The 17,819-nt window shown below is 39.6% G+C and overlaps 1 protein-coding gene and 1 long non-coding RNA gene across 6 annotated transcripts in view, besides 2 other annotated features; both read left to right on the forward strand.

Moving 5' to 3' along the window:
• The window catches only part of LOC105375739 (uncharacterized), a 46,366-nt gene extending 42,982 nt beyond the window's left edge, over positions 1 to 3,384 (forward strand). The window contains exons 2-3 of the long non-coding RNA XR_928607.4: positions 1,921 to 2,046; positions 3,283 to 3,384. This is a non-coding gene — a long non-coding RNA (uncharacterized LOC105375739). The remainder of the gene's footprint in view (positions 1 to 1,920; positions 2,047 to 3,282) is intronic.
• Positions 3,385 to 5,576: 2,192 nt separating this feature from the next.
• FAM91A1 (family with sequence similarity 91 member A1) overlaps positions 5,577 to 17,819 on the forward strand; it is a 47,014-nt gene continuing 34,771 nt past the window's right edge. For 3 of the 5 annotated variants that reach the window (NM_144963.4, NM_001317918.1, XM_047421406.1), the window contains exons 1-8: positions 5,577 to 5,912; positions 11,218 to 11,302; positions 12,285 to 12,436; positions 14,403 to 14,460; positions 15,163 to 15,230; positions 15,797 to 15,910; positions 17,123 to 17,213; positions 17,618 to 17,680. In NM_144963.4, coding sequence (NP_659400.3) covers positions 5,841 to 5,912; positions 11,218 to 11,302; positions 12,285 to 12,436; positions 14,403 to 14,460; positions 15,163 to 15,230; positions 15,797 to 15,910; positions 17,123 to 17,213; positions 17,618 to 17,680 — 703 coding nt within the window. In that variant the 5' untranslated portion in view covers positions 5,577 to 5,840. Of the gene's footprint in view, positions 5,913 to 10,031; positions 10,171 to 11,217; positions 11,303 to 12,284; positions 12,437 to 14,402; positions 14,461 to 15,162; positions 15,231 to 15,796; positions 15,911 to 17,122; positions 17,221 to 17,617; positions 17,681 to 17,819 lie in introns of all 5 variants that reach the window. The other 2 variants (XM_047421405.1, NM_001317917.2) reach the window with 2 other exon arrangements.
• Positions 5,763 to 5,912: a silencer, noted in NCBI's record as "silent region_19505". NCBI's record gives its function as "represses an Ori minimal core promoter by ATAC-STARR-seq in GM12878 lymphoblastoid cells {active_cell/tissue: GM12878}" and the evidence as "EXISTENCE:reporter gene assay evidence [ECO:0000049][PMID:35858748]".
• Positions 7,481 to 7,530: a silencer, noted in NCBI's record as "silent region_19506". NCBI's record gives its function as "represses an Ori minimal core promoter by ATAC-STARR-seq in GM12878 lymphoblastoid cells {active_cell/tissue: GM12878}" and the evidence as "EXISTENCE:reporter gene assay evidence [ECO:0000049][PMID:35858748]".

A 17,819-nucleotide genomic window follows, 5' to 3' on the forward strand; every position in this document is an offset into this window, starting at 1 on the left:
CCTTTTGCCTGTTTTTCCAGCTAGTCCAACCTTTTCTAAAAAATAAAATTGATGGCCGGGCGCAGGGGCTCACGCCTGTAATTCCAGCACTTTGGGAGGCCGAGGCGGGCAGATCACAAGGTCAGGAGTTTGAGACCAGCCTTGCCACCATGGTGAAACTCTGTCTCTACTAAAAATACAAAAAATTAGTCAGGCGTGGTGGCAGGTGCCTGTAATCCCAGCTACTTGGGAGGCTGAGGCAGGAGAATCACTTGAACCCAGGAGGCGGAGGTTGCAGTGAGCCGAGATCGTGCCATTGCACTCCAGCATGGGCTACAGGGTGAGACTCCGTCTCAAAAATAAATACATAATAAAATAAAATAAAATTGAGTACCGATAAGGAATACCTCCCTATTCACTCAAAATGTGATTTTACTCCTTGTCATGGATACTGTGACAATATTTTCAATTAAGTATAAATCATGCTTTGTAGCTGACCAACTTATCCTGTCTACCTGAGCTACGAAGCGGCACAAATGGTGACCTTGAGATTGTACAAACCTCAATTGGACCACTTCCCAGTGGGCGGGCCTAAGTACAACAAGTATTATTATTTACTGTAGACAAATTAGAAAATGAATTTCACGGACTTTAAGGCCTGAGGGAATGGCTTGGGTTAAAGTCAACAGTTAGATACGGGAAAGTGGAATTTGCAGGTTTTAAATATAGAATTGTTGTGTGAGATCAGCCCCTGGTGGTCACCTTAACTATTACAATTGTTTGGCGTTTGTATTGAGGTGATGAGGCTTGATATTGGAATGCTCATTTCCACCTCAGATCACTAATGTCCTAAACACAAACTGACTTCAAATGGCAGAAATATAATGTTCTCTATAGTATACATGGATATGGAATGTCAATCTTTCAAAGGCTCTGTGGCAGGGCATCTCTCTGACTCTCTAAAACAAGCTGTAGTTTTTCAGTTGTTTTCCATCAATTGCAAAAGAAAGTCCTAGAAACTCTTTAGTGTAAAGAAAAATGTCCCTGCATTTTTTTGCCTCTTCCAACCTCTGCGTCCTCACATCCTGATTCTTCAGAATTCCATTCAGTGTCCAGATGAAAAGTTTTCCAGGTAAAGAAGGAGGGATAAGCATTCCAGAAACCGGTATTCTCTATGCAGAGATTCAAAGGGATTAAACCATAGGGCATGTTTAGGAGGATTGCAAATGTCTTAGTCTTTCTGAAGTGTGTGAGGCAAGAGACAATGGACACCTAAACTTTCCAGCCTAGCTAAAAAGTTTTCTTTGCTTTCCACAAAGACAAGGCTACAAAATTATTTTTCACTCCAAAATAAACAAAGCATAACTGACAGCTTCCATGAAAGGGAGGCAGTAGGGAGAAGTGGGGAATACGGCCCCCGGGAAAGCCTGTGTCCTAAGCGAGGCAGCCTAGCCTCTTCTCAGCTTCACTGTCTAGTATGAAGGAGGGTGATGCTGCAGGACTTTCCAAAGTTTCAAGAGAATCCCCAAATCTGGACTTTTATGAAAATTCTGCTCCTATGCAACATTTATTGTTCATTCAATATTACTGAGTGCCTACTATGTGCTGACCTAAGCCGAGGACACAGCAGAGAACAAAACAGGCAAAAGCCCCTATCATTTGGGAGCTTCCTGTCTGATGGGAGAGACAATTTTAAAGATTAAGTCATTTACTGACTATATTAGATGGTAATAAGTGCCATCTCCACTTTATGGAGAAAAATAATGCAGGGGAGGAGGATGCAGAGGGTTGGAGATATGTTACGATTTTGAATAAGGTGGTCAGGGAAGGCTTAACTGAGAAGTAGCACTTGAGAGCTCAGGTATCACATAACTAGTTCATGCATTCAATACAATCAATGGTATTTATTGAGCACTTATTATATATGATGCATGATTCTAGGTCCTAGAGATAAACTGATGAACAAGAAAGCAAAGTCCTTCCTTCCATGCAGAGACAGACAACAAGCAAGGAGCCAAACAGGATAATGTTGGACAGTAATTCCTTACAATGAAGGACATGAACAAGGTAATGAGAGAGGTAATGAGGTTAGAGGGAGGTTGAGGGGAGAAGTGGCTAGGTTGGACAAGGTAGTTGGAGAAGGCCACTCTAAGTGACAGCAGGTGGACTCAAAGGAACCTGCTGTGCAAAGGTCTGGGGAAAGGCATTCAAGGTGGAGGGGATTAGAAGGGTAAAAACTGGGAGGTGGGAACAAGCAAGGCTAAGGTGTCTGGCATGGAGATAAAATGGTTCATGGAACAGAGCAAATCATATACGGTATGGAAACCCACGACTAAGGTCGGACTCAGGCAAAATTGTGAAACAGAAAAATGTTACAGTGACTCCCTTTCCTCTCTTTTTTCTGGACACCATTTCCTCCCCTACAGGTGCTTCTCTAGCCTCATTTCATCCCTAAGCTCTATCTCTTTCAAACTTGCTCTCAGAAAAGGATGTGACAGCTCATGTATACTTAAAAAATAATAAGGCTTAAAGGGAATTATTCCTCCTAAGGGCATTTAATCACAATGACTTTAATTATAACATTTGATGCATCAGCTATTTGGGTGTTGGAATATTTTATTGTTGGGGAGTATATTAATTTCCTATTGCTGATGTAACAAATTACTATAAATTTGGTGCCTTGAAATCACACACATTTATTATCTTACATTTCAGGAGATCAGAAGCTCAAAATGGCTCAGCAGGGCTGTGCTCCTTTTGGAGAATCCATTTCTTCCAGTTCCTAGAAGCTGTTCACATTCCTTGGCCTGTGGCCCTGTATCACTCTGATCTCTGCTTCTGTTGTCACATCACCTTCTCTAACTCTGACCCCCTGCCTCCCTCTAATAAGGACCTCGTGATTATCTTGAACCCACTTGGATAATTCAAGATTATCTCCTCATGTCACGATGCTTAACTGCATCTGCAAAGTCCCTTTTACCATATAAGGGGCAAATTCACAAGTTCTAGGCATTAGGATGTGAACATCTTTGGGGACTATTATTATTCCTACCACAGGGCATGACATTCTGGAGTCTATGAGTGGGGTCATTAGATGGCTCCCTATTTTCAGGTAGTTTCTGCTCATTATTTCTGTTGGAATTTTGGGAATGAAATAGTTCTGTAGTCTTTCTAAAGGGCCAATTGCCTAAGCTAGTTGGGCAGTTTTCCTCAATCTGATCTTGTAAAGCCAGATAAGACTGAATTTCATTGCACTTGTTTGTGCTTTTGAACACTTTTTTTTTTTTTTTTTTTAACCCACAGTGTTAATTCGAATGGCAGCTTCTGGGATGGGACTTAAACACTCTGCAGTTTCTGACCTCTGTGGAATTTGAAAAGCCAAAGGTCTAGTAAAGTAAAAATTAGCAGGAGCCTCAGTCAGGGACGTAAAGGAAGGACATTATTGCTAAACGAAAAGGTGAGGTGCTGTAATGAGTGTCACATGTGGAGTCAGTCTAGTGAGCGACTGTTTCCAGCTTTCTGATGCTTGGGGAAGCAGTACTGTTCCTGAACTTCCCAGCAGAGGGGGTCATAGAGCCCTGTGGGTTAATTTACCGTCTTTGAACTCCTATCCTCTCAAAGACTGGTCCTTGGTGGGAAATGAGGCAGATCAGTACTTTAATAAGATTGTGTATTAAGCCAGAGTCCATCACTGGTTCCTGCTCGTAAGGGCTTGTTATTTGAATTCTTCCCATCCACATAGCTCTATCTCATTCCCATTTCCTCCTTCATGTGTCTGCTTTTCTCAGCTACTTGCCGAGTGAGAATCTTTTCTAGTCACAGGGTCGCATTTTCAAAGGTCTGTTTGCCTTATTAATTTAATGGGTGTAGGTTCACCTCTACTTATCCCACGTTCACTTTTATAGTTTTTGATGTGTCCACTAAACTCAATATAGTGAGTTTATCAGGCATTCACCTGCTGAACTGCTATCATTAGCTAAAATAATAGTTTACAGGGATTTTTTTAAGCTAAATTGACTTTAATTTTCATTGTTACTTATATTGCATTAGATCTAAGTTAGACTTTGGAAGAATATGGGTTCTTCCACACTTAGAACTGTAAAGCATTATTTTAGAGGATGTTTATGTCGTTGACTTTGAATGAACATTGTCTAAATTGGAACAGGAGGTAGAAGAGTTCAGTGAGTGAGAGCCTGAGTTGGGGAACTGAAAGGATGGCTCTGGAGTGAGGATAGCCTTCGGCTCCAGTTTGGCTCTGTCAGTGCTACCTGTGTGATCTTGCGAGCAAGTCATGAAGCCCTGCCAAGCCTCAGTCTCCTCCTCTATCAAACTGGGATAGTAAGTGGTTACTGTTGTAGGAATATCAGGGTTGTGAGGAATAATCTATTGTCAAGTCAAGGCCTTAATACATGGCGGGCAGGTAATCAATATTTGTTGAATAAATGTCTCACGGTTAGAGTTCAGTTAACCTTAGCTATGCTGATGAGGATCTGTAAACATAAGGTTCAAAGCACTTATCTTTGGGTTATTATAGTTGGATAATAGGAGACCAAAACATCTAAGCAAGGGCAGTGTGTACTTGTCACCTTTATTTCATCAGACATAATGGGGTTTCTGCTAAGCATCAGACTTGCCAGCTGTTGAGGTGTGAGCTAGGTATCTTATAAAAAGTTCTAAGTATACATCTCCCAGTATATAATAAAACATTATTTAAAACCATTGTTAAAAACTGAAAAACAGTTGCAATAACACTGAACTTGTCTCTGGTTGCTGCCAGGAATAATGGTCACGGGTTTGCTAAGGCAGCGTAACAACTTCTGAAAGAAATTATTCCCAAAGACCTTATCACTCAATCTGAAATTAAGACATGCTGGATTTTTGCTTTTAAGTGACTCTGGAGGCATTTGTGTGGAGCAGAATAAAGCAGAAACCGACAGGCTGCATGACAAAGTTGGCAAGGGTATCTCTCTGTCAGCCCTGTAGGCTGCCTCGACCTGTCAGCACCACTGTTTAAAATTTCAGCTCCCTGAATCCCTGCATTGTAAGAATTTGGATCTTCTTGGGAAGTGGAGCCCAATGACGTGCAGCACACCGCGGAAGGGAAGAGGGCTTACCAGACCTTTGCTCTCCCACTGCCCATGCTTCTCGCTCAACCCGGTGCGAGACCTGACTTAGAGATTATTTCTTTCTCCAGGGCCCTGGACCCGTCCCCGCAACCCCCCGCCCCGTCTCACTGGCCCGGGTTCCGGGCTGGCCTGTGGAGAACCCCCGCGAGCGCACCGCACTCCAATGTAAAGCCAGCCACTGCCGGCCCGCTTCCCAGGTCGCTTTTCTCTGAAAACCGACCCCAGTGCCTCCGGCTTTACAATTTGAGTAAACTGGGTCATCAGCAACGGCAACGCAGACCCAAGCGACTATCGCCGTTCATTCAGAGACTGAAACGGGGAGACGAAGCGCGCGGGCGGGGAACGCTCACCCGGGCACCTCCCGGTACCTCGTCGTCGCCCCGCCCCGCAGCCTGTAGAGGGCGTGGCTAGAGGCCAGTCCGTGCCCCGCCCCTCCGGCCGCGCGCCAGCGGGCGGAAGTGACGTGTGCCCAGAGCCATTTCCGGCGGCCCGAAACTAGGAAGAAACTTGGAGCTGTTCAGGCGATCCAGCCTCCAATCGCTGCTGCTCTTGTACTCGGTTGGCCCGGGCGGCGCTGAACTGTCGGGAGCCTAGGCCATGGGGCAGCCTGGGCCTTCTGCAGTGTGAGGCGCGGGGCCTCCCGCGTCGCTCCGCTGACAGGCTGCGGGCGGGCAGGCGGGAGGCGTAGTGTGGGTCGCGGTGGCGGCCCCGGCCGCCGGCCCTGGCCGCGGCATCATGAACATAGACGTGGAGTTCCACATCCGGCACAACTACCCCTGGAACAAGTTGCCGGCCAACGTGAGACAGGTACGGCCGGAACCTGGGACCGGGCCCCTGACGGATTCGGCCCGCCCAGCGGTCACCTGCTTGCCTCGCTCGCGGGGCCCGAGCGGGCTGCTGCCGGCTGACTCCCTTCCTTTACTCCTCCGTGGTCTTGGGGAGACGGACCTTCAGCCCAGGGCGAGGAGGGGACGGCTGTGGGGCCACAGGGCCAGGACGGGGCGATCGCTAAATGGGATGGCATGGTGTCCACAGGACTCGACTGGCGCCTTTGCCCGCAGGATACATTCAGCCAGGCACCTGCGATAGAGATTTTAAACACGGTCCTTGACCTCCGGAATTTCAGGATGGTGGGAAAGGGATGGGAAACAAATGAATACGATACAGGATGATAGCAGCTCATACACACCTGCATTGTAGTATATGTGAGAGCAGAGGGAGGGAGAAATTATCCTGGGAGAGTTGGAAGGATTTTTAAGGCAGGCACTTAAATTGGGCCTTGGAGGACGAATAAGAGTTAAATAAGAGGGAATAAAGATTTTTCCAGGGGGAGGGAAAGTCATTTTACAAAGCTTGGATGAGTGAAAGAACATGTCTCATGAGTAGCAAGTGACTGTATCACCAGAGTTTGGACTGACATGTTTGGAGTTGAAGTTTTTTGAGTGCGCGGGGCTGGTAGCAGATGAGCCTGGAAAAGTGGTCAGGGCCAGATTTTGAAGGTGCTTGTGTGCTTTGTTTTGTTGGACTTTATCCTCCAGACAAGATGGGTTTATCAGAGATGTTTCAACAAGAGTGACATGAGGTTTTTGAAAGTTAATTCTCGATTTTTTTAGTCTGTTTTACTCAATTGTTTAATAGATATTTATTGACCACCTACTAGGTGCTGTGCGTTGCTCTAGGTGCAGGTAATTTGCAACAGTCAACAAGACAAAGACTGCCTTCATGGAGCTTACATTTTACTAAAGAAAGACGTAAACAAATAAATGAATAAATACGTAACATAGCAGATGGTTTTAAGTCTTACGAAAGTAGTGATATGGGCTACAGATAACGCACTGCTGCTCTGGTCATAGATTGACCTTCGCTTCCTCCCATTATACTTGGTCGAGAGTGAAATTCAGTTTTCTGTTGGCACTCGGCAGTGGCATTTTTGGGAAGTTTGGAATGGTGGCGGTGATGGTATATAAGGATTATTTATTTATTTTTATTTTTATTTTCATTTCTTTGAGACAGAGTCTCCTGTTGCCCAGGCTGGAGTGCAGTGGTGTGATCTCCGCTCACTGCAAACTCTGCTTCTTGGGTTCAAGCGATTCTCCTGCCTCAGCCTCCCGAGTAGCTGGTACTACAGGTGCGCGCCACCACGCCCAGCTAATTTTTGTATTTTTAGTAGAGACGGGGTTTCATCATGTTGGCCAGGCTGGTCTCGATATCTTGACCTCATGATCCGCCCGTCTCGGCCTTCCAAAGTGCTGGGATTACAGGCGTGAGCCACAGTGCCCAGCCAGTATGAGGATTGTTATAGTTTAGTTTACTTTGCTCCCTTCCTCCCTTGGGGATTTAGTGCCAGGAAGTGAATATTAAGGTTCTGGTCATGCATCATGTGGCCAAGAAAATGCTTTCACTTTAATATAGCAAAAACCGAGAAAGATAAATTTAAAGAACTTGAATTCTTGGGTGTCAGTGGCTGCCCGTGTGGCATTTATCTTAAACTGGGAGAACAAAGCTCTAAACCTGAAGGAATAAATTTCTTTTGTTAATCTTGAATAAAGGCTTTAAAGGACACTTTTGTACTTTAGGGTTTTGTGGCAAATCCAAAGACACAAGAAGAACAAACAGTTCTTCTTTTCTTTGTTTCCATTTTTTCTCTACTCTTTTCATCAGAATAAATGTAGCATACTGGAAGAAAGATGAGTGATGAGATTATATCCAACATGAATATTTGACTTTAATTAGTATTGGCAAAAGAGTTTCTAAAACGTAGTCATGACTATTTAAAAATAATCATGGGACAGTTAAAATTAGGTCTAAATGTGAAATTAAGTATGTTTTTGTTTTTAAAATCACTTGAAAAACAGTGGCTATTTTAGCTTAGGATAAGGTTGGCCATTTGTAGATGTTGCAAAACATCTGTACAAGTTTACTTCCAAGGACCTTCTCTAGCCTAATCACTGCTTCCCTAGGCCGAGCTCCATCTGAGATTACTACATCAGCCTTCTCTCTGGTCTCTTGCTCTTAGAATAGGACTTTCTCTGCATTCTTCATGCTACTCTGGGGGTGAGGCTTCTGAAATGCAAACCCAACCTTATTACTGCTGGTCTCCTTTATATTGCTTGTATTAATAGCATATTTTGATTCTCACTCTGATACTGCTCCTGGGAGGTTTCCCTGACCACCTAAATCTGTGGTGGTTGCCCCTAGGCTATCTTACCATTGCATTGTATTCCTCACCTGTCATAGAGCTTACCCCGCTATGGTGCATTTTGTGGTTACAATACTGGCTTTGCTTTTGTCCCATGAGCACCTCTCACATACTTGGCTTTTAGTATTTGTGGCTGAGCACCTAAAGCTCAGTCAGTTTAAACTTGGGGAATATTCCTTCTATGGAAAGAATTTGTCTTTTGGCATTATAGATTTTTAGACACTTCGATGTCGTTTCCAGTAAGTTTTGATGGGTTTACCTTGAAAATGACTCATTTTCCAGTTCTGTAAGCTAGGGGCAGGTGATTTAGATTTTTAAAAAATGTATTTTAAGCTAATTCATTTTTATGTGGATGAGAGGACATTTAAAAAAATGTGGTATGGGTCATGATAGACTTTTAAAAAATATATAAAAAATTGTGGATGGGGCCATTATTTCAGGATTTTTCTGTAGTTTACCACTATCTTGTATTCTTTATCCAAAATAATTAATAGCCCTTTTATTTTGAGGGAAATCTTATGATAAGTTTCTGTATCATCCAAGAAGGGTCAATTTAAAAAATTTTTTGATGCGGCACAGGGGTGTACTTGGGGATGTATATGCTGGGATTGGAGTCTGTAGGAGCAAAGATTTCAGAAAATCTTTGTGTTTTTAGCATAATCTGTGATGGGTGCTTTATAGCTAGTGTCTTATTCTTACATCGCCATTTGATCTGATGTAGTTCCTTTTATATGCAGCCCAACTTCATTTGTCAGACCTGGTCAGTATTTCTGCAGGGCTAGAGTTGACTCGGGGTAAAATTACTTTTTTTTTCTTCTTTTTAAAAAGTCACCTTCTCTAGTGGCAACAGTGTTTTAAAATTTGAATGGTGGGAGATGTGGGGTAGGAGTAGGAGGGGAGCCCAGGGAGCCCAAGAATCTCAGAATGAAGCAATTTATATTACATACTTGGCCAGTGAAGAATAAAGCCAACTTTTAATGTGGGTTTTAGAAATTTGTGTTCACTCGTGTATTGATTGATAGGTTCAGGACCAGTTATTACTTAATGCTGAGAGCCAAAGCTTACAAATTTCATAGGTAGTGTATTAAGAGACTTATTTTGAAACAGAAGAGCAAAACCTCAAGCTAGATTTTAGCAAAATTGTGTGCTTGTTTGAGTATGCATGTGTGTGTATTTGTGTTCCCTGAGAAAGAGACTTTTATTTAGCAGTAGAGACAGAGAAAACCTTTAAAAGTGTGCTATTTTGAATCCTCTAAATATTGTCAGTACAACGACCCTGGCATTGATGCTACGAAGAGGATGGTAGAGTAGTTTCTCTACAATGAGATCTACTCTTAACCCCTTATAATGTTAAGACAGATGAAAGTAAGATAAGCACATACATTCTGGTTCTACCGTGGGTTCTGGCTTAGCCTGTGATAAACTAAGCTAAATGCAGGAAGAAAGCTCACCCTTGAACAACATGGGTTTAGGGGTGCTGCACCCCTGTGCAGTTGAAAATCCATGTATAACTTTTGACTTCCCCAGAAGTTAACTACTAATAGCCTATAACTGTTGACTTCCCCGGAAGTTAACTACTAATAGCCTATAACTGTTGACTGGAAGCCTCGGCCATAACACAGTTGATGAACACATATTTTGTATGTTATATATATTGTTAATATATGCTGTACTACAATAAGCTAGAGAAAAGAAAATGCTATTATGAAAATCATAATATTTTCTAGTCATTAAGTGGAGATGGCTCATCACAGAGGTCTTCATCCTTCTCTTCACATCAAGTAGGCTGAGGAGGAGGAGGAGGAGGAAATACAGGAAGTGTTGGTCTTGCTGTTCAGGGTGGCAGAGGAGGAAGAAAATCCCAGTGTAAGTGGACCTATGCAGTTCAAACCCGTGTTGTCCAAGGGCCAACCGCACATAATTGTACAGTTAAAATGGGACACATCATGTTCTATTTTTCTTAAAATATTACCTACCAATGGGTCCAGTTATGGGTCAGTTTACTTAGATGTGAGTTTCATCTGTCTTATTGTGAAGATTGCCTTAAGTGAAAGATGTAGGGACCTGTCTTTGGTTTTGGCTTACCTATGAGTAAGAAATACGATGAACTAAATCCTCTGATCTTTCTGTCATTACTTTCCTAAGATGTCTAATTTCACTTTATAGTGTGTTGGAAAGACCATACCTAGAAATTAGGAGGAGGATAGCAGTCATATATTAAATTAAGTTTATGGTCTCCCAGTGAATATAATGTTAACTATAATCAGGCAAACGTTGTTTGCTTTCAGGAACACTGCAACAAAACACTAAGTGCATACTAGAAAGACTTTAGCTTATTAAAAATGGCTCCGAATTCTAAAATTGTCTAAATGCCTTCTAATGAGGCCACAGGAGATTGCATTTTTAAGAAACAATCTTACGTACATTTAAATGTAAATTTTCCAGAAATCCTAATCTTTAATAATTATAACCCTCAGCTACAATTATCAAAGAGGGATGTATCTGTCCTTAGTTGCCATTCTTAAATTTAAATAAATGTAGGGGCAGGAAACCATCTATCCAACCACTTAATATAGCAGTCAGGAAGGAAATCTTTATAAGCAGAACTTAGTTCTTTGTTAACCAAAGTGAAGTTACACTCACCTACCGGTTTTTATTTGATATTAAATACTTCGGATAATTTTAGTAAACTCTTTTAGAAAGGCAGACTGAAAATACATAGAATTTTTGCTCTGAATACTGTAGCAGGAAAGTTAGTATAATAACATTTAAGAAAATATTTTTTATTTAATTCTGCAAATTAGAGATGCCAGGATAAAAATGGGGGTCGTGGTTTTAAAGTGTGTTATGGGAAAAAATAGTACTATTGTTCAGTTTGGAAGTTGTTTAAAATCTTTTTGAAATTTCTCCTAGAGTCTTGGAAATTCACAGAGAGAATATGAAAAGCAGGTTGTCCTGTACAGTATCCGCAATCAGTTACGATATAGAAATAACTTAGGTAAGTAGAGCCATGTTTATATTGGGGTGGAACTGACCACTACTCTTTCACATTCGTAAATCTTTCTTTTCAATACATATTTCATAGTACTGAGATTATTCCATGTACAGACTTTAAGAAACTCTACACTGATCCATTCCACCTAACAACAATTTGTATTAGCAAGTAGATTTTTCATTCTAATTCTGATAAAAATTATTTTTAGAGTACTGTTTATGGACTCATTTTATCTATAAAATAATCTTAATTCAAATGTCCTCTTTTTGCCTGAGGTAAGAAAATATGCCATAAAAGAAAAAGTATATTAGTTCTTAGTAATTTTTGACTTTGGGTTGTCTCCATAAATTTTCCAAATAATATGAAAAACTTTATAATAATTGGGACACATTTTAAACATAGTTCATTCCATGATTTTTTTTTCTTCTTTCTAAAAAAAAATTTGTTTATTTATCAGATTATTTTGGTTAGTCTATTCTGTTGCCCTGGTAGTCTTTCACTCCTGTTTGTTACTCTTATTTTAAGCATAATATTTCTGACATTGTTTTTCTTCATGAACATTTTCCATGAAAGTCAGAGGGCTTTTTACATTTAAAAACTAAAAAAGCAGCAAATAATTTTTAAAAATAGACTTGACTTCATTGAAAACGAGCATTCAGTTTGGCTCTCTTGTAAGGTAGTAGAATACAATTCAATAAAGCTCTGTTTTGTACCTTTTTGGGGGGCATGCTGGTAGTTCCATGCTTGTTTTCTCATTTGGCAAGAATTATTCTCTACTAATCTGTCCTATTATTCATTTTACTTCTATACTCTAAAATCTATTTCATGTGATATATTTCTTTGTTCCAACTTAGAATATTTTATTTGTTCTCTTGTAATTTACATACTTTTCTTTTAAATTACTGTTGGTTTGTAAAGTGTTCATAGTTAATATATAACTATAAGAAACCTGAAAAAAACTGGAGAATTTCCCTCTTTTGTGCAGTTAAACATGTCAAGAAAGATGAACGCAGATACTATGAGGAACTGCTAAAGTACAGCCGAGATCATCTCATGCTGTACCCTTACCATCTATCGGATATTATGGTGAAAGGCTTGAGGATAACACCATTTTCATATTATACTGGGATTATGGAGGTGAGTTTACAGTGTGGGTGAGCCAGTGGGAATGGGATGGGACTACATGTCTGGGACTTTTTGCAGATGTTCACCAGCTCTTCAGCTGTCGTCTGCGGTGGACACTCTTTCAGAACTTATAGTGTAAAAAGGACTATTGGTGGCTTGTTAACTGTTTGAGCCACACTGTACAAGTACTTATCCTTATTGATGTTTTTACATTGGGAAGCTGTCTATTTCTCTTCTGGTCTTGAAGGTGCTATTGACCCTTTGTGCTGTTGTAGTACTGATCAGTCATTTATGTTGGCAGAGTCTGTGTAAAATTTATTGCTTTTTAAAACGTGATTAAGGTTGAAAATGTGGGTGACAGAATTGAACATTATGTTCTGAGAAAATTAATGTATTTAGGCTGGGAGCAGTGGTTCACGCCTGTAATCCCAGCACTTTGGGAGGCCAAGGTGGGTGGATCATGAGGTCAGGAGATCAAGACCATCCTGGCCAACATGGTGAAACCCCGTCTCTACTAAAAGTACAAAAATTAGCCAGCCGTGGTGGTGTGCACCTGTAATCCTAGCTACTCAGGAGGCTGAGGGGGGAGAATCGCTTGAACCTGGGAGGTGGAGGTTGCAGTGAGCCGAGATAGCGCCACTGCACTCCAGCCTGGGTGACACAGTGAGACTGTCTCAAAAGAAAAAAAAGAAAAGAAAAGAAAATTAATGTATTTAACTATTCACTAACTGTCTAAAGAATGAATGATGACATAGACCCAACATTATATAATACAGGTGCCAGAAAAGAGAAATATGTTAGTAGTCTTGGCTGTTAATCTCTTTCTATAATTATTAACTTTTAGTTGTTAGCCTTTTTCCAAAGACAGCTTTTAGGCTTGTATTGGATAACTTTAATACTAGTTATATACTGTTTTCAAGTGAGCTTTATTAAAGATTGGCAGTATTTATTTAGTATTCATTTGCTCCTTAATTATGTTTGAGTGCTTCTGTTTGGGGCTCACTAGCCGCTTGAAGAGCAGAGAGGAGCCTAGAACTAAAGGAGTTGGGAACGTGTGGTAACATGAGGTTAGCCCTACATACGATGTGTGCTTTGCTGTTTGCTCCCTTCGTTATCTCCAGAAGCCCCTCCTTCATGGGTGCTTCTGCAGTCCCATGCATCCCGTGTTCCTCTTTTGGAGGAAATACTGGAGGAAAGCGAGAGGCCCGATAGCCCAGGTAGCATAGTGAAGAACCAGGGTAGCATAATGAAGGTGGCAGCTAATCAGGAAGTAGAATAGTTACTGCTGTCTCTTTATTTTTCTAGTGTAGTCCACAAATTTGGGAGCTAAAATAGGTGGAGTTTTTGTTTCACTTATCAGCTTTCATTTCAGTTACATCCACATGGTTGCTGCATTCTGGTTTCTGTTATTCTATCATTGGGTATAGTTCCTCGGTAGAAAACGGGCCTTATCCCCACAGGAAGCAGTGGGTTTGTTATTGGAGAAACAGATTGGGGCAGAAAAAGCTGGATACCAAGTTTAGCTCTTCTACAGATTGGGACTTGTGGGATCAAAGGCCACTAAGTGGTTGTAGTCTTCATTGGTAGTGCATGTTGATGGAGCTGTGCCACATTATTTGGCTTTCTCTCATGGTGGAGATCTAGGATCAGGTATGAAATGTGGAGAGGCTGGAACCCTGAGCTCTAATGGAGCCATTACTTACATAGCTTCCACAGGGCAGAGGTTATGGGGCAGCTGCCTGGGATTCGTAGAGAGCCTCTTAAGAAACCTAGACCTGAAAATCTGCCCTTTAATTACTAGGTTGGGAACATGTGTGGAAAGTGCCACAGGGTGGCATGTATGCTCTAGGTAGCCAAACTATGATCTTACTGCTTCCTGTAATAATCATTGTTATTGGCTGTAATAATATTGTATTTATACACATTTTTATTTAAGGACATTTTAGATTTCAAATTTAAATTTTTTTCTTTTTAAAAGGATATTATGAACAGTGAGAAAAGTTATGATTCATTGCCCAATTTTACTGCTGCTGACTGTAAGTATTTAATTGTGCTGAAGAAGGTAATGTTTAGGTTGTGTCTTTGTGCATCCTGTCATCTGTGAATATTGTCATGTGTGTTTTTAACCTGAAATATGTGAAAAATGAGAACAGTAAGCAACATTATCAGTGAGAATTTTATCAGATGATACCAGATGCATGTGTAAGATTTACTCTAAATGTCTAAGAGAGGCATATTTGAGAGTGGTAGAATCAGAAAAATAAGACTAATCTATATATTTCCAGAGAATGAAGTTCTTTCTGATACTTGGGCTGTGTGTATATTGAATGTGGGAGGAAAACTTGTGCACAGTATTTTTGCAGGGTGACATACAGTTTTTAGTAACTTAACTTGCTGCTGTTTTAGTATGCTTACTTTGGCAAAGTGTATATTTTGAATGTGTCATAATTCTGTTGTTTAAGAAGCTTTCGCTGAGAATTACATTTTGACTTCCTAAAATTGGCAGGACTTCTGCTTTTTTAAAATGTTTTTGTTAGAAGTGTCATCTTGAATTCATCTCTCCCAAAGTTTAGCTTTCATTTATGTTTTGGTTGAAGACGTCCTTTTAATTTGATATTGATATTTGACTAGTAATTGAAAGATGAAAATAAGCTCGGGTTTTTCCTACAATCGCTTGTGAACATATTGAGATTTCAAGATATGTTAAATGTTTTTAAAGGAAAGACTCTTTTTTTCAGGTCTAAGGCTTCTTGGCATAGGAAGAAACCAGTATATTGATCTTATGAATCAGTGTAGATCATCAAAAGTAAGTTAGTACTTTCTTTTTCATTGTTTTGGCCTCATCACACAGTTTGATTAGTTTTTTTAAGTGGTAGAAATAATGAATTGTATGTCTTTGACCAAATAAAATGTACTTAACACAGAAACAATACAAAAAAAACTCCTCAGTATTCTCTAGGTTATAGCATAAATGATTATTTAAAATTTTTAATGCATAAAACATTTATTTTTAAAAATTATTTTTGTTCTCTTAGTCTTTTTATTTGCTCATTCTACTTGTACAGTTCACTTAGTGGGTGAAAAAAGTGTTTGCATTTTCAAATGCATTTTTCACTGCTTGGGTTTCACTTGAGTTTGTGGAAGTAAATCTGGATTTAACAATTAGTGTTTTGAAACAATTTATTTTGAAACAATTTAAGAATGACTTTCTTCATACAATATGTTAATATCTAGAATTGTTAAGATTTTAAAACATGAAGATTTTAAGAAGATATTTATTTAGTCCATTAGAAACAATCTTATGATATGATTGATGAAAGAAGAAAGTGGTAGTTTTAGATTGCAAATTCTCAAATGTTTGTACCATTGCAGAAATTCTTCAGAAGGAAAACAGCCCGTGATCTTCTACCAATAAAGCCAGTGGAAATTGCCATAGAGGCGTGGTGGGTGGTGCAGGCTGGCTATATCACAGAAGATGACATCAAGGTAGAAATCTTTAAAAGTTAAACATAGAATTTTTATTTTTTAGTTTATTTTACAATTTTTAATTATAGCTTATAATTTTTTAAAAAGTAACATTGTTTTCCTGAAGAAAAGGAAACTTAAATTTAAAATTTAAAATGATCTTAGTAGACTAGAATATTGGTGAGTTTTTGAGATACTCTTTAATGGTGAGGGAGACTTGACTTGGTTCAAGTACAGTTATCTGGGGATGTTAATTAGATAGAAGCTTCGTGTAAAGTAACATGATGCCACAGCTACCTACAACAATAATACTGGCTAACACTTTTGAATACCTGCTGTGTGCTAGATGTGCCAAGCTCTATTACAAGTGCTTTTTATATTGTCTTACTTAATTCTCATAACAGCCCCAGAGGTATGTATTATTTGTACCCCCATTTCACAGATGAGGAAAGTGAGCACAGAACAATTAAGTAACAGCTCATGTCTTAGTGGTAGTAAAGGTCCAGGATTTTTTGGCAGTTCACCATGAAACTTGTACTCTTAATCACTGCAAAGAACTGTTGTACTGAAGTGATAGGTGCTTTTATGGGGCGATAGTGTCAAGATCAAGAGAGTTGATATTCCCAGTGGTCAGACCACATCTTAGAAGGGATATTGGTTTAGAGGAAAGGGGTGGAGTAATGAGGGCACCTAGAGACCAGGTTGTATTTATGCGTAGCTGAAGCAATGGAAATGAGTATGTGGGCTTCTTTTTGGTCTGCATTTAATTTTCTCCAGGGTACGTACTAAATCCATTGAGTGGAAGGCTTAGAAATTTTACTTCAGTCTAAAGTACCTCTTAATGGAACTCTCAAACTGTATCATAATAAGCTAGTGAACTTTCCTGTTACTGACAATATTCATGTAGAGTTTGACTAAATTTCTGGCTAGAGAGATTCTGAATTGGCAGATGGATCTAATTCCAATTCAATCACAAGGAACAAATATTACTAACTAGCAAATGTTGGTACTTACAGTAAGTTTGTTCTCTACATTCTGTTGGTATGTTGCATATTTTGGCACCTTAATTGATGGCTATGTGCACAGTTTTTTGTTTGAATTATAGAGTGATAAATATGTAGTTCATTGAGCTAATGACATGTAATCACTGGTTTCAACATAAATAAATTTCAGGAGACTTGTGAATTAGTTAATTTGGACAGAACTTAATTAAAAATATTTTGCTTTTCTTAGATATGCACTTTGCCTGAGAAATGCGCTGTTGATAAGATCATCGATTCAGGCCCTCAACTCTCTGGATCACTAGATTACAATGTAGTACATAGTAAGTGGTTAGTAGAAATGGTCTTTTGTCAACATAAAAACTTGTTTTAAACCATCAATAATTACTAGCAATTACTTATCAAGTAGGTACAAATAGTACTAGTTTCTAAGGCATGTTATTGTTTGAAATGTGACCTTAGTCTTTTGTTTTCCAGTGTGGCTATAATTAGTCACATACACTAGAAATTTATGCAACTGAATGATAAGAAAAATTTTGTACTTCAGAGTATATGCAGGAAACCGAGATTTAAAAACTTTAATTCTTTTTCTCTTCTATTTTACTTTTTCTTTCGTCACATAGCATTCATTTGTAAGAATCTTTACAGAAAGCCAGGAATTAGTTTTTTTAAAAAAATCACTGTTGTGTAGTGTTCCATCTAAAACAAGGTACTTTTGTTTCTTCAGGTTTGTATAACAAAGGATTTATTTATCTGGATGTACCAATATCTGATGACAGTTGTATAGCAGGTAAGTCCGTGCTAACATTTTTCACTGTTTTTTGAATGGATATCAGGTGCTAAGCATTGCATATCATCCGTTCTAGGATCTTAGATGTTAGGATATTTCAAGAAAAATATTGCTTCGTTATTACATTTTAACATAGTAC

Source organism: Homo sapiens, chromosome 8 (genome assembly GCF_000001405.40).
Source record: "Homo sapiens chromosome 8, GRCh38.p14 Primary Assembly".
NCBI classification, from domain to species: Eukaryota; Metazoa; Chordata; class Mammalia; order Primates; family Hominidae; genus Homo; species Homo sapiens.